The sequence below is a fragment of the Homo sapiens genome, chromosome 2 (genome assembly GCF_000001405.40).
Source record: "Homo sapiens chromosome 2, GRCh38.p14 Primary Assembly".
Classification (NCBI taxonomy): Eukaryota; Metazoa; Chordata; class Mammalia; order Primates; family Hominidae; genus Homo; species Homo sapiens.
The window spans coordinates 75,063,833-75,078,878 of record NC_000002.12 but is presented as its reverse complement, the minus strand read 5'-3'; the positions used below and the strand labels follow the sequence as shown (position 1 = coordinate 75,078,878).

Below are 15,046 nucleotides of genomic sequence, written 5' to 3'. Positions count from 1 at the left end.
GGGGTCTAAAGCAACGAAAGCTCTCTTCACCCAGAACCTACAAAAGATGGATCATGGTGCTCAGCATTTTGCATACAGAATGATTATCAGAAAAGGAATAAATAAACCTGGAATATCCATCGTTTGAAAACCACTTAGAATTACTATTTGCTCTTCTGATGCAAAGAAAATTCTTGGTTTCCCTGAATACACTCCTACAAGGGCACAGTTTCGTGTTTGTTCTACCCCCATGATGTTGGAAATGGCACAAATGATGTGACTGGAGTAGGTTCAGGTGGAACATGGGAGAGCAAACAAAGATGCCATTGGATATATTGGCTAGAAGAAGAGTATCTTAATACAAAGAAAAAAATAATAAAATAGAGACAAGGTAGAGACTAATAGAAATTAAACTCTTATTATTTTAAATAATTTTAAGTTTTTATCTAGCTCCTACCATGAGGCAGGTACTGTGCTAGGCTCTTTAAATGAATCATCTCATTTGATCCTCACAACCTCCTGTGAGGAGGGCTATAATCTCTTCTCTACAGATACATAAGTTGAGATTCAGAGAGTTTAGAAATCACTCAAGGTCATGCAACTTAAAAAAAAAAAACATGCAAAACTCCAAGTTCAAAAGAGACAAGAGCCCAAATAGAATCTGAATGGGGGCACTGAACTAGGCTCATAATTCAGCTAAGTATTGTAGTCAAAATCGTCACACTTCACAGCTCTTTCAGGTAAGCTCTGTGCCACTGTTCTAGACCTCCATGATGGTAGTAGAGACCTACCTCGGTGATCTGGGGAACACCCCCTCACTCTTGATTTGAAACACCGTCCTGCTGCAGTAATAGCAGTTACGCCAGTAGAGAAGTGGTTAATTCAATCTCAGGAGTCCTAGGTTAAAATGCAGATTCTCCAGAAGAGGTAATGCAATAGATATGAATGAGCTTTCCAACTTGAGCTCACTGATTTAAGTTTGATTATGGGAAGAAAATGAGATGAACACAGAGCTTGGACTGACTAAAATTGGGAAATTGGAGGAGAAAGGAAAGAGGAAAAGATCATTAATGGGTTATGTTCCTGGGGGCCTTCCCTTATACCTCTTATCTGGGGATGGGTACAGCTCCATACTCCCAAGGATGCCCCTAAATTCTCAGTAGATTTGAAGTACAAGACAGGAGGGCTGGTCTGTGTTGTTCATCACTGTTACCCCAGCATCTCAGGCCTGATCCACAGTAAACACCAAAAAAATTCAATAAATGGACACAGGAATTAATGAATGCAGACACTGACCTGTTACCTGCAGGCTTCTGCCTCAGGATAGCCTGCTAAGCATCATTTACCAGGATGTTTGTGTATTGTGTTGTTCCCACATCAATTATCAGATACTTGTGGATTTTACCAACAACCTCTCCTCTCAGCTTCTTCTGGAAGAGTCTACCTTACAGGAATGAAAATTCACAGTAGGTCCATCTAACTTCTTACTGGAGGTGTCCTACCCACTGGAGAAGGTGGTTATAGTACAAACAGTGCAGTCCTTAGTTTTAAAAGACCTGAGTTCAAATCACCACTGTCCAAAGTATTCTCTCTCTGAACCTCTGTTCTCATCAGTAAAATTAAAATAATAGGCCGGGTGCGGTGGCTCACGCCTGTAATCCCAGCACTTTGGGAGGCCAAGGTGGGTGGGTCACCTGAGGTCAGGAATTCGAGACCAGCCTGACCAACATGGAGAAACCCCATCTCTACTAAAAATACAAAATTAGCCAGGCATGGTGGCACATGCCTGTAATCCAAGCTACTCAGGAGGCTGAAGCAGGAGATTCGCTTGAACCCAGAAGGCAGAAGTTACGGTGAGCCAAGATCGAGCCATTGCACTCCAGCCTGGGCAACAAGAGCGAAACTCTGTCTCAAATGATAATAATAATAATAGATGTGTGGTGAAAATTACATGAAATTACCTGTGTAAAGCGGAAGCTAGTAGGCACCTGGTAAATTTTAGCTCACTTCCCCCTTCCTACTGAATAAAAAAGTCAATTAACAAAAGAGATATCCTACCAAAACTTAGAGTTCTCAGGCCTTACCGAAGATGCGAAGGCCTCAGAAGTTAGAACACAATCCCATCACTTCAGAAATGAGGAAGAGATGTAGAGACAAGCAGCACCTTGGCTAACGTTGCCCCAGTGATTGTCAGGTCCAGAAAACCAGCACCAGGCTCCTGACTCCTGGTCTCGGGCTCCATGTTACCAAACTAGCATTTCCCAGTTCATCTTTTTATGCTGCGTTTGAAATTACCATTTAGGGAAGCTGTACTCCAAGCTTTCACAGATGGCCCCTTCCATGTTTCCAAGCATGCATGTCCTGTTAGTGTCAGCCCGCCAGTGGAATCAGTCTATACTGACTTCCTCTCTCACCTCCTAATTGACTCTGAGAGACAAACCAAACATGTAGCTCCAAGAAGCTGGGTCTATGAGTTTTCACTCTGTTGGCCCTTGAGCTGACAAAAAGGTTTATAAGCTTCTGTGTGTGCAAAGCTGCCTGCAATCAGTAAGGGGGATTTGAGAGTGGCGTTTTCAGGAAAGACAACAGGTGATGGATTCTCCTGGGACATGCTGAGTAAACAGCGCCAGCTGCCACTGGTCTCAGAAGCATCCATCATGTGACAAGGCTTTTTCCAGGCACTGACTGGCATGGGAGTATGGTTATTTCATGGAGTCCTCACCCATCTGGTCCAATTCCCTCTTTTCAGGTGCAAGAAACTAAGGTCTAACAGAAGGAAGAGACTTGCTTAAAGTCCAGTAGAAAATAAGAAAGGACAGAATAAGCAGCAAAGGCAGATCAAAGCACAAACCTGCCATTCATATGCTGTGTTTAAATCTCCCACTATGGTTGTGAATTTGTCCAATTCTTCTATTAATTCTGTTGGGATTTGCTTTATACACACTGAAGACATGTTATGTAGATTCAAACAAGTTATAGCTTTATGGTGATTTTGTAAAAACTATGAATTCCTAATGTTGGACATTAAGATTATATATTCCTATTTTTGCTTTAACGTCATTTGTCTGATGTTAACATATTTACTTCTAGCTTAAAATATCTTCTTCTGTCCTTTTACTTTTAATCTGAGTCTTTACATTTCACATATGTCTCTAACAAACAGCAATTAGCTGAATTTGTTCTTGTTGTTATTGTTGCTGTTTAAACACATTCTTATCATCCCTGTCCTTTAACTGATGAATTTAGTTTTTACATTTATTGTGAACATTGACATATTTTGATTTATTCTGCCTTATTTTCCTAAAATAGTTATCATATATTTTTATTTTTACAAATGAATGTATATAGCATATATGTAAGTATGGGACATAATAATAATTTGAAACAAGTAATCCTAACACCCATCTTGTGAACTAAAGCATTATTAGGTCATAGAATCCCTCTCTTCATATGATTCCTGAGGCCCAAGTACAAGAGCTTCTCTCCGACATATGTTTTAAAGTGAAATTCATTTGGGTTTGCACATGTTCAACTTTGTAAGATAATTGTTTTCCAAAGTAGGTGCACGAATTTACACACCCACCAGCAGTAAATAAGAGTTCCTGTTGTAGCATGTCCATACCAACACCTGGTATTGTCAGACTTTTTATTTCTTCCCTAGCTAGTAAATGTAAAATGCTATCCTATTGTGGTCTTAATCTGTATATCCCTGAGGAAAGAGACAGTTAAGCAGGAGGGAATAATCAGCTGTGTAGAATGCCGCTTCTCAGCTTTAATGGTTTAATGGGTCACTCTTCTTAAAGCTGCCTGCATTTTAACATGGGACAATTCCTGGACTCAAAAGAATAGATCTTAAATAGTGGATGATAAGCCCTGTCACATGCCAGTGAGGGAAAATGACAGCAGGTTCTCAGTGCTTCCACATCTAAAGTGACCAACCATCCTGGTTTTCCTGGAACTGAGGGGTTTCCCTAGATGTGGGGCTTTTAGTTTTGAAACTGGGAAAACCCCAGGTAAATCAAGACCAGCTGGTTACCAACCCACGCTACACACATAGATGTTCCCTGACCCTGTTAGTACTAAAATGCTTTATTCCATGCACAGAGCCTAATCCTCATGCACACACACAACCCAAACACAACTGCCTTCTCCATGGCAGAAGGCAGCCTATAGACTATGATCTGAAGCCACCTTCTTGCCTGGAAGAAAAAAAAAATCCCTGCCTTCAGGGGCCATTCCTTAATGGCTAAGGTGAGTGAAAGAGTTTTCTCACTTTAAAAGAAAAATCTGGGTCATATTACTTTTTATTATAGTGTATTCCTCACTAGCTGCTCTTCTTAAAGTTTCTATTTCCCCAGTCTGGGGAAATGTGACATCTTAACAAGACATTTCAAAGCTGACACAACAAGCTCTAGGGCCAATCTTCCTGGGAGAATGAGCCACATGCTGTAGGGCCATGTTATACGGACATGAAATCTGAGCTCTGCATTCCCTACAAGACCCAGGGGCTCCAGATAGATGCCTATGTCTAAAAGCAGGTTTAACAGAGCTCTTGCTAGAGGCTGAAGTTTCAGGGAATTAAAGTGACAGGAATCCCTGTTGTCAATTTCTCTCCTTTGCAACAAGTCACAACTACACAGCCAACACTTGCCACTTGCCTCAGTTTCTCACCCTGCTAATGAGCTTGATGCTCCTGGTGAGTAGAGCTGGCATCCAGGAGCACAGGTTACAGCTTGCCCCGCTTGTGAAAATATTTTGATTTTTCATTTCCATTTCGTAAATAGTATTACATAACAAGTATTTTTTAAAAATAAGTAGAAACATAAATTCTGGTATGTATGCTTTATCTCAGGCATAACCATACTATATAATATCAAGATACATTTTTGATTTGGGCAATGCACAGAATGAGAGGGGTAGGTACCACCACAGTTCTATTTCAGGGGTTGAGGAGTTGCCTTCAGGTTCACAGCCCTTGAGTAGGAAAGGGCCTCACAGCTGTGCTGAGGAGAACATATTCTGTAAATGTCTAAAAGTAATGCCTCACCCTATCCAGCAGAAACAGCCCTTCTGGTGAGAAGTGGCATTCCTATGTGAGGCTATAGGAAGGAGAATCTGCCCAGGGCCTCATCACAGGCCAGAAGAGTGAGTGAGTTTCCCGGCAAATGGCAGGAGGATTTTCTTCTCTGTGCCTGGTCTCCAGACAGAGGAGCCTCCTGTCAGCTCCCACCTCCCCCCAGACCCACTGCCCCCTCCTGCCAGACCAGCCTCAGTGGGTGCCCACCCGACACCTGACACCAGCCAAGGAAATCCTGACCTTCACCTTCTCTTCCTTTATTCCCTCTTGTTTTCTTTCCCTCTTTGGCCTTGGTGCCACTTAGTTACAGGGCTCAAACCAGTTGCTGCCTTTCCTTACCTTACCAGCCAATTCCAACCTCATGTATGGTCCCCTTGCCACACACACTTACTCCCTTGAAGGGGGATGTCAGTCCAAAGAAGTTGGCTCTAAGCCCTGGTCACCAGGTAGTCACCACCTACTACTCCATTCTTCTCCTCTTAGAAATAAAGTGACTGTGTGAGAATTCCACTGAGAGTGTCCACACACAAAAGATGTGGGAGCTGTCTTTAAAATGGAGCTTCTCTGTAAAAATTAGACTGCTGGGTTTAGGAACACCTAAAGCTCCAATCAGGGTGATTGTGAGTAGGTGGAAATGAAGTCAGCTGTGCTGTAGCTCTTCTGGAAGGTGACTATAGATTCTCAGGGGTTTCCAAACACCGGGTCCCTATTCCTGTGAGTAGTGAGGTTTTCCTCTTATATAGAGAGGTTTCTATATTTAAAAATCTGACTTTTTTGCTGAGATTATTTGTTTTCTGGTGTTGAGATAGTATTTAATGAATGTGGTGATGATGACAATAGTTGTTTAGTCTAGTTTAGTTTAGTTTAGCTCAGCTTAGTTTTTTAATGTTTTTATCTGGCAGAATAAGAGACTGAAAAAAATCTACATCAATCCTCAAATTTTGTTTAAACATTTTCCATAAAACGCAGAAAACTTGGAACCATAGACCTTGAAGATTTGAGGAAAAAAGTCCTGAAGTTGGTCTCATCCTCCTAAGTCACCTCCAGGACACCAGATGTGTGCCAGGCGCTGTGCAAGGCAGCAGAGCTGGGTGCCCTCAGGGCAAGCATATCCATCCTCCTGACACTCAGATCCTCACTGTGGAGTGGAGTGCACATGCCCTTCAGGCTATCAGAGTCTGATGCCAGGAAGCCCTGGAATCAACCAAAGAACCCTCCAGGTGCCATATCTGATTGTGATCTGCGACCCTACTAATCTGGCCAATGCCAATGCCCAGTTTGGGTTAGGCTTAGGGTTAGGGTTAGGGTTAGAGTTGGGCTTTTCATGCTCTCATGGACGATCCCCAACCTCAACTTTTCTGCCCTATATTTTCCTTATATTTTCTTCCCTCTCACATCTGGGTCTCCAAGGAATGCCAGCAAAAGACGGGAAACCAGGCTAGTTGTGGCCATATTGATTATGATACTTGGCGATCTTTCAGCACTTCTCTTACTGATGCCATCAGCTGCCTTCTTGTGGCTGGTCTCAGATCGCTAATCCCGTCCTGCATCCTTGACCTGGCAGACGACTCACATCAGACTCACTGAGAAGACAGAAACTGGATCCTTTCTTTCTTTCCTTCCCTTCTCTCCCTCTGTGCCCTGGATCCCTGTTCCTGCTCCTCCTGAGCTGACCCTAACTAACTCCTACTTCACGGTGCCATTGACTCCTTGTCTTTCACCCACAAATCCACTCTGTGCTCCCCCTAGACTAAACACTGGCCTCCTGGCTGCCACTCCTCCAGTCCCTCCTTAGCACAAACAAACATCTATGCTACGCTTGCTGCAGTTATTTTTTTCATGACGTACGTACTCCTTCAGTTCCTGCTATCTGGCTTTTGTCTCCATCCCGACACTGAAATTGCTCATGAGTGACCTGATAATTGTCAAACCCAGTGGTTTGTTCTCAGTTCTCTCTTCCAGTTTGGCAAGGGCATGAGAGATAGCAAAGAGAGGGAGAGCAGGAGGGAGCATTGATGGAGCAGGCACTCTATGCCAAGCATTAATCTGGGCACTAAGTAGTAAGAATTAAGGTTGGGAATTACATTATGGAGAGTTTTAACTGTCGTGCTAAGGAGTTTGTGCTTAATTTCATAGGCAATTGGAAGCCTGGACAGGAAGGTCATTTGTATCAATGATCAGAGCAGGGTTTTAGAAAACTTAATCTGTGGTTGATAACATAGGGAGTGGAGAAGAAAGATATGTGAGGTCTCTGGTTTATAGGAGCCTGCAGAGCACTTGGAAGTAAAGCTAATGTGCACGAAATGAAGAACTGCACAAGGCATCAGTTAATGAAAATGTAAGTCGATGTTGAATACTCTGGGATATGAGAGCGGGAAGGGATTAGGAAGACCATACTGGTTCAGAGAATCTCCCAGCAGCACAAGATGGACCTTGAAGAAGGATAAGATTTGGATTGGTGCCAGAGAAGGGAGGGCATCCCAATAGCCTAAATAAGGCCAGTGAAGGCACAGCATTGGCAAGAGTTGGGCCCAGCCTAGGCTGCTTTCCTCTATAATGATTGTAATTCAGCCCCTTCCCTTTACAGTTTTAAGAGGATGACTTTAGATTTTTCCCTTACAGCAGGGATCAACACATTTTTCTAAGAGGCCAAGTAGTAGATATTTGATGCTTGGCAGGTCCTACAGTCTCTTCCACAGCTACTCCACTCAGCCACCAGAGCACGAAAACAGCCACAGACAATACTTAGTGTGAACGGGCATGACTGTGTTCCAAGGACATTTTATTTACAGATATTGACACTTGAATTTTGTAATTTTTACATGCCATAAAACAATATTCTTCTTTGTTTTTTTTTCCCTGGTCATTTAAAAATATAAAAACCATTCTTAATTTGCAAGCCATATAAAAACAGATGGCGACTTGCTTTGAACTGGGGCCATAGTTTGCGGCCCCTGCCATAGAGGACTAGGACATGGAGCCCATGGAATTGGAGGGTCTGGGTCCATGTCTGACCTCTGCCACTCACCAGATGCATGGCTATGCATAGCCTGCTTACCTGTCTGTATCTCAGCTTCCTTACCTGCAAAGTAGAGCTAAGGATATAGCAGTACATGTCTTCTCTGGTTGTTATGAGAATTAAATGAGTAAAAATTCTTGAACCCATGAAATTTACCCAGAGACACACAGGAGAAACAATGCAGAAAATAAAAGCGTGGCTAGAAGAAACTTGAGGCTTGTTGCCATGAGGCTTAGGGTCTGGTTCGAGGTCTGCTGTGTGACCTTTGGAGGCCATTTCCTTAGTTTCTTCTTATGTAAAATAGGATAATTTTACTCACTCTGAAGGATACATGTGGGAAGAAATGGCATAATCAACATGATTTCATTTAGAAAAGTTAACAAGGCTCTGTACCACCCAGCATCTAGATGGTGGTTTTTATTCTCCAATAAAAGGAACCAGGGCTCCTTAGAGTAATGGCTGATTCTATGACAGAAGCAGTGCACTTACATGAGCCTGAAGTACCTTGTATTTCCAGAAAAGAAGTGCTCAAAACACACACACACACACATACACACACACACACACACATACACACACACACATACATACAATGTTGGGGGTAGGTCAATTGAATGGGCTTCTAATGTCCAAAGTTGAAGCAATTAGAGCAAAATAAATGACATAATATTGAATTATAATGCCAAATATATAATAAATTTCATGAGTCCATACTGATATAAAGGAATGAATGAATAAATAATAAATGAGATAGAATAGACAAACCTCCCACACAGGATAATTCCAAAAATTTCATACAGATATCTGTCTTCAAGGGAGGAGCATGACTCCTCATCCTGTGAATGTGGGCAGCACATGGTGTCTTGCTTCCAAAGATTAGAGTATGGAAAGAAAGAAAAAAGAGTGTCTTCACAGTGGAGAAACCTGACAATGCTGTCTCAGCCTGGAGATCAAGCAACAGTGATAAATAATAATAATAGCATGTACCCTTGATATGATGTGATAAGAATGGCACTTCCTCCCAAAAAGCCATAACCCCATTCTAATCATGAGAAAAACATCAGACAAATTCCAGATAAGGGACTGTCCACAAAATATCTGACCAATACTCCTCAAAACAGTCAATGTTATCAAAAACAAGGAAAGTCTGAGAAACTGTCACAGCCCAAAGGGGTTTAAGGAGACATGGCAAGTAAACTTAATGTGAGATCTTGGAGCAGAAAAACAATTAGAGAAAAACTAAGGATATCTCAGTAAAGTGTGGACTTTCAGTTAATACTATGCCAATATTAGTTCATAAATTGTGACAAATGTACTACACTAATAACATGTTAGTAAAAGGGGGCACTGGCTGTGGAATAGCCACTGTGAAACTCTGTTTTATCTTTGCAACTTTTCTGTAAATCTAAATTATTCTAAAATAAAATTGTCATTTTTTAAAACTCACTATATTAATAAATAAATATATACATATATAGATATAGATATACATATACATATATATGTATATACTGTATTAGTCTGTTCTCACACTGCTAATAAAGACATACCCAAGACTGCGTAATTTATAGATGAAAGATGTTTAATGGACTTACAGTTCCACATGGCTGGGAAGTCCTCACAATCATGGCGGAAGGCAAAGGAGTGGCAAAGTCACATCTTACATGGTGGCAGACAAGAGAGCTGGTGCAGGGGAACCCCCTCTTATAAAACCATCACATCTCGTGAGACTTATTCACTTTCACGAGAACAGCACAGGAAAGACTCACCCCCATGATTCAATTACCTTCCACCAGGTACCCTCCATGACAAGTGGGAATTATGGGAGCTACAATTCAAAATGAGATTTGGGTGGGGACACAGCCAAACAGTATCATGTACATATAATTTTAAAAAGTATGTATGCCATACTGATGGCATTCCTTCCCATACAGTTTTATAATTCTTTCCATCCTGGACAACACTAATCTCTACAATGGAGAATTCTTGGGCCAGTTACTTAAACTGTCTCTCAGGGTCAAGTGGATTGCACAACTCAAGGGGGTGCTATTTACCCAATAGTCTCTGTGAGTGGTGTCCCGAGTTATGCTAAGGGAAGTCTGTAAGCACTCTGCAATGTTTGTACCTAAGTTTTACTATCTGTAACACAGAGATTGCTGTTGGGAGAACTGAATGAGGTTATATATGTAAAGAATTTAAAAGAGAGCCTGGCATATAGGAAACACTGTATCAGTGTCAGCTATTAATATGTTTATGGTGGTAGTAGTGGTAGTTATTATTATTGTTACTAGAATGCTTCCAAATCATGCCCTGGGTTTTCCCAGCTCTTTCCATCCAGCTGTGCCCTTATGATGGTTAATTTTGCGTGTCACCTGGGCAAGGCTACTTGGTAAACCCTAGTCCATATGTTGCTGTGAAGGTATCTGTAAACGCGATTAACATTTACAAAGAGTTGGCTTTAACTAAGGCAGCTTACCCTCCATGATGTGAGGGACCCTCATGCAATCAGTTGAAGGCTTTAAGGGCAAATGCTGAGATTTTCTAGAAAGAAAGGAATTCTGCCTCAAGACCACATCAACTCTTACCTGAGTTCCCAGCCTACCAGCCTGCCTTGCAAATGTTAAACTTGCCAACCCCCACAGTTGTGTAAGCCAAGTTCTTAAAATAAATAAATCTCAATAGATAGATAAATAGCTACTTAGAGACATAGACATAGATATCTCCTATTGGCTCTGTTTCTGCAGAGAACCCTGACTGATACACCCTTCCAGTCCCAGTCTTCATTATATCTTGCCCAGATGAAAGTGCAGCCTCTTACCGGGGCCCAGGCTTGCATGTCTAACCAAATCAAAGCCAGATCATATCCCACCCTGCCTAACCCCTTCAGTGACTTTACTTGGCACTTTGCAGGCCCAGCTCCTGACAGCATGGCCTAAGGACCCTAGAGGCTGTGGCCCCCACCACATCTCATGGCCCTCACCCCTCAACCCCTCCACTCAAGCCACAGAGGCATTCTGTTAGCTTCTCCAATGTGCCCAGCACATTTGGACCTTAGGGCCTCTGTGCCTGCTTTTGTCTCTGCATGGGGCACCCACCACTGCACCCTTCACGTCGCTGCTTTGAACTTCAGGTCTCTGTTAAACATTACCTTAACAGAGTCCTTTGTGTGGACACCCCTGGTACTCTCTACCACTCCCCTTGTTTGGCTCCTCTATTCACTTAGCAACATTTATGATTTTATATTTATTTGCTGATGTATCTGTTTATTATCTGTCTTCCCCACTATACTTCAAGCATCTCAAAAGCAGGGACCATGTCGTTTCTATTCACCATTATATCCTCAGCACCTAGTACAAAATAGAAGGTTCATGAAAAATTGGGTAGCTGAACCCATGGGGCCTAGCAGCAACTATGCAGCCTCCTCTTCCCATGTTCCTCGCCCATAACTGAAGATGCTACCTCAACACACGGCTGGCCCCAAACCTGAACAGGTGACTTTGCTAACAATATATATGAAGCCTTTATAAAGCCTAAATCTGCATGATTCAGCATCTAAGAACTGTGAAGTTGAGGAAGCCTGGCTTAATTAGCAAAAGTGATAAAATAGAAATTCCATTAAAAAGTGCCCCAAACAACTGTCCACCACAATACCTATCAAAAAAAAGTCCCTGTCTTAGCTAACCTCCTGCTCTCATAATCTCCCACTGCTCCCCTCGGACCCTCTCCATTCAAAACCTCCTCTCCCTCATCCAATCTGCATAGACTTTCTGTCTCAATTGCATAGATTAGCTTAGCTTTTCTTCCAGCAATAAAGACCTTTTTTTTGTAAGACGAGGAGGTTGCATAAAAGATAGTCCAGAAATTATTAGATTCTCTTTGGATGCCTTGGGGAGGTAGAAAAATCTGTCATCACTCCCACATTAAATGTTTGTCCTCTCACACACAATTCACAACAGACTTCAAATTGATTAATGTAGTATCCTTGACAATTTCTTGTGAGACACATAAATTGCATTGCCCAATTTGTTAATGGAAACTGTAGACTGGCAGTCTATGTGCCTCATGGCATAATGGTCTATTGTCTATGCTGGGAAACTTTTGGCTAAGAAAAGAAAGTAGGGTGTTTGTCTTTCCCACATATTTCAGTTAACCGAGAGTCTCTCTGGGCTCAGGGTTCAAGACAAGAACAGGCTGTGGAAATACAAGAATGAATCCAAACATGAAATGGAATCGAAGACTTGGCCGCATTCCAGTCACTCGTCTAGATGAATTTCAATCCTGGGCCTGCTTTTTTAAGCTACACAATTTTTCAATAAATTATCTGCCATTATAAAATGCTGCAGATAATTTTTGTGCTTGACGTATTTGTTCATTCTTGAAAAACTGTGGTTTCCCCGCTCTGAGTGACATTTATCCATTCTTCTTCTTAGCTCATCTGAGCAGAAAGAGAAAGAAATGCACAGGGCTGAAATGAGACAAGGACTGATCTGTTTTCTATTCCCATTTCAACCCTGAGTGACTTGAACAAGGCAATTACCTTCCTTACACCTTAATTTTTCCTGTTGAAAGGAGGTTAGCAATATCTCTCTTTTACCCAAAGTCCCAGAGGTAATGAGATGAAGTGGAATCCACTCTCCAGAAACACCTTTACAATGAAACTACTGCAGGTAGAAAATATGAAATTTCTACATCTTCTAAGCCGATAGCTATTTACATTGTATTACACTTGATAATAAATTTCCTCAGAAGAAAAGGTTCCTGGCCAGTTGTTAGTAGTGGCTGTATTAAGATTTGTCTTGTTGAGAGTACATATTTTCAGGGCACAGCAAAGAGAATGGGCACTTAGCATCAGGGCTGTGAGTCTGGATGCTTAGTCCAGACTTAGAGACATGGATGGCTATTAGTCACAGGCTATTGGGACTAAAACTGTTTTGATTATTTTAAGTGCTTTTTCAAACTCCAGAGAGAGATGAGAGGAAGTGTAAAATACCAACCAACACCCACATTTATGGTGTAACTTACGTATATCAAGAAATGTTTACTCATATCCGTTGGCACCAATTGAAGCAGTTTCTAAACAATGTCCCACCAAAAATAAGCTGATTTGGAGTGCGTGACAGAAGGATAAAGTACAAGCTTCACTTCTGCATGTATCCAATCCGTCTCCCACAACCCCCAACCCCAGCCCAGTGTTCATTCCAGCTGCTGCATCGAGAGAAGCTCATCCCAGATCTGTCCCTGCCTACCCACCCAGCAAAAAGCCTTCCACTGCGGCGATGCGATACTCAGCTAACTCAACCTCAAGCAGAGCACAACACAATAGAATTAAGACCCATCTAGAGGGTTTGAGAGTGGGTGGATTATATCAGCAAAACATGTATCAGTACCCACTGATACTCAGAGCAAATGTCACATATAAAATGCAGCCTTGTCCTCAATAGGGTTGCAGTATTCCAAGGGGATTTGCAAAACTCATGCTACAGTGGTTTAAAACAAAACACCCCACATACTGGAAAACTGCACCATGACATGGTAAGGAATGTAGGGGTTGGGAGGTGGGCACTGTGTGGTGTGTAATGAATTCGACCTCATAAAATGCATGCTGCTTTCTTGCTAGGTTACTGAAATGCCTAATGAATACTGGTTGGTCCAGGTGCCGGCTGCAGATTGGCGCCACCTGGTGGCAGTTACCTGCCTCACATTTCCGTATCTGGGGCCGGAGGACTTGGAGAACATCCTCAGAGATTCCAGGAATCTTCAGATGACTGATATCATCTTGCCAGGCTGGAAAGGCTGACCAGGGAGCATAATGCAGATTCAGGAGGTCCCTTTCTGTCTCCCTGCTGCCTGAGGCAGGGTCTCCCTCTCCACCACATCCTCTTCTCCACCCTAAGTAAGAACCTTAACTTACCACTAGGAGCTTTGTGGTCGCCACCAGCCCTGGCCTGCCCACTTGTCTCCACTCTGGGAAAGAGTCACTCTCCTTTATTTCCTCAAAGCCCCACTACCATGGAATTTTTGGATGAGGCATATTTTACTAAAGATTTGAGGAGCTGAATCGGGGAATTACAGCCTAGGACAAAATTGTGTTTTCTTGAATTCGCACTCAGATACCACTGTTCTTTACAATGCATTGAGCAGCCATCCCTGCAGGAAATGTCTTGCTGGCTGTGTCCTTTTGCAAGTCCCTCTTCCAACCATGGGGCTCAGGTGCACTCGCACTCTTTCTCGCCCCTCTTTCTGTCATGCTTAATATGGTATCTTTTTCCCTTTTTCTTGTTACCTGTACTCTTTATATTTTTTCCCCACACAGATCAATTTAGCATTTTCACTCTCCACCTAAATTAGGCTTCTGCCCTATTTTTTCCTATCCCAAAATACAATAAGCTCCCCAGCCAACCCAAAGACCGTCTAACTTGTCCTCTCTCAGCAATTCAAAGCCTGCAGAAGCTTTAGAATTCAAGTTTTGTTTGTTTTTCTTAACGTATCTACCCAGTTGAAATTTCAGGCAGGACTATCAGCCACTTGCCTCCTCAAACACCATTACTGCCCTGCCTCCTCTCCCTAAGCAGACTGAAGGGAGGAGGAGTGTGGGTGAGGGAGCTCAGCTTCTTCTGCATGAGTCTGTGTTTCAATGTCTCTCGTTAGAGCATTCCCAGACTCTTGAGCCATTCCTAGCAATGCACCCTTTTCAGAACCTTTTTTTTTTTTTCCTAACACTGCTGCCCAAGAAAGAATCTGTAAGGGGGCCATGAGGTCCAAGGCAGACCAACAACATTCACCACTACACTTCATCATGCATGTCATGCTGGGAAGGGCCAGTGGATTTACAACCTGATCTCTTCTGAGAAGCTGCCAACCTGGCTCTAAATAACTGAGACCATTCTCTAACCTTCTTCGTAAGAAATGTGCAGGTCTGAAGATATTTTATTTTAAAAACTAAGTAAAATTCAGGACATTCTAATGGTGTA

The 15,046-nt window shown here is 42.4% G+C and overlaps 1 protein-coding gene across 2 annotated transcripts in view, besides 1 other annotated feature; it reads left to right on the top strand.

Moving 5' to 3' along the window:
• TACR1 (tachykinin receptor 1) overlaps nt 1–15,046 on the top strand; it is a 153,058-nt gene that overhangs the window by 120,642 nt on the left and 17,370 nt on the right. The window lies entirely within an intron of this gene.
• Nucleotides 13,673–13,772: a silencer, noted in NCBI's record as "silent region_11679". NCBI's record gives its function as "represses an Ori minimal core promoter by ATAC-STARR-seq in GM12878 lymphoblastoid cells {active_cell/tissue: GM12878}" and the evidence as "EXISTENCE:reporter gene assay evidence [ECO:0000049][PMID:35858748]".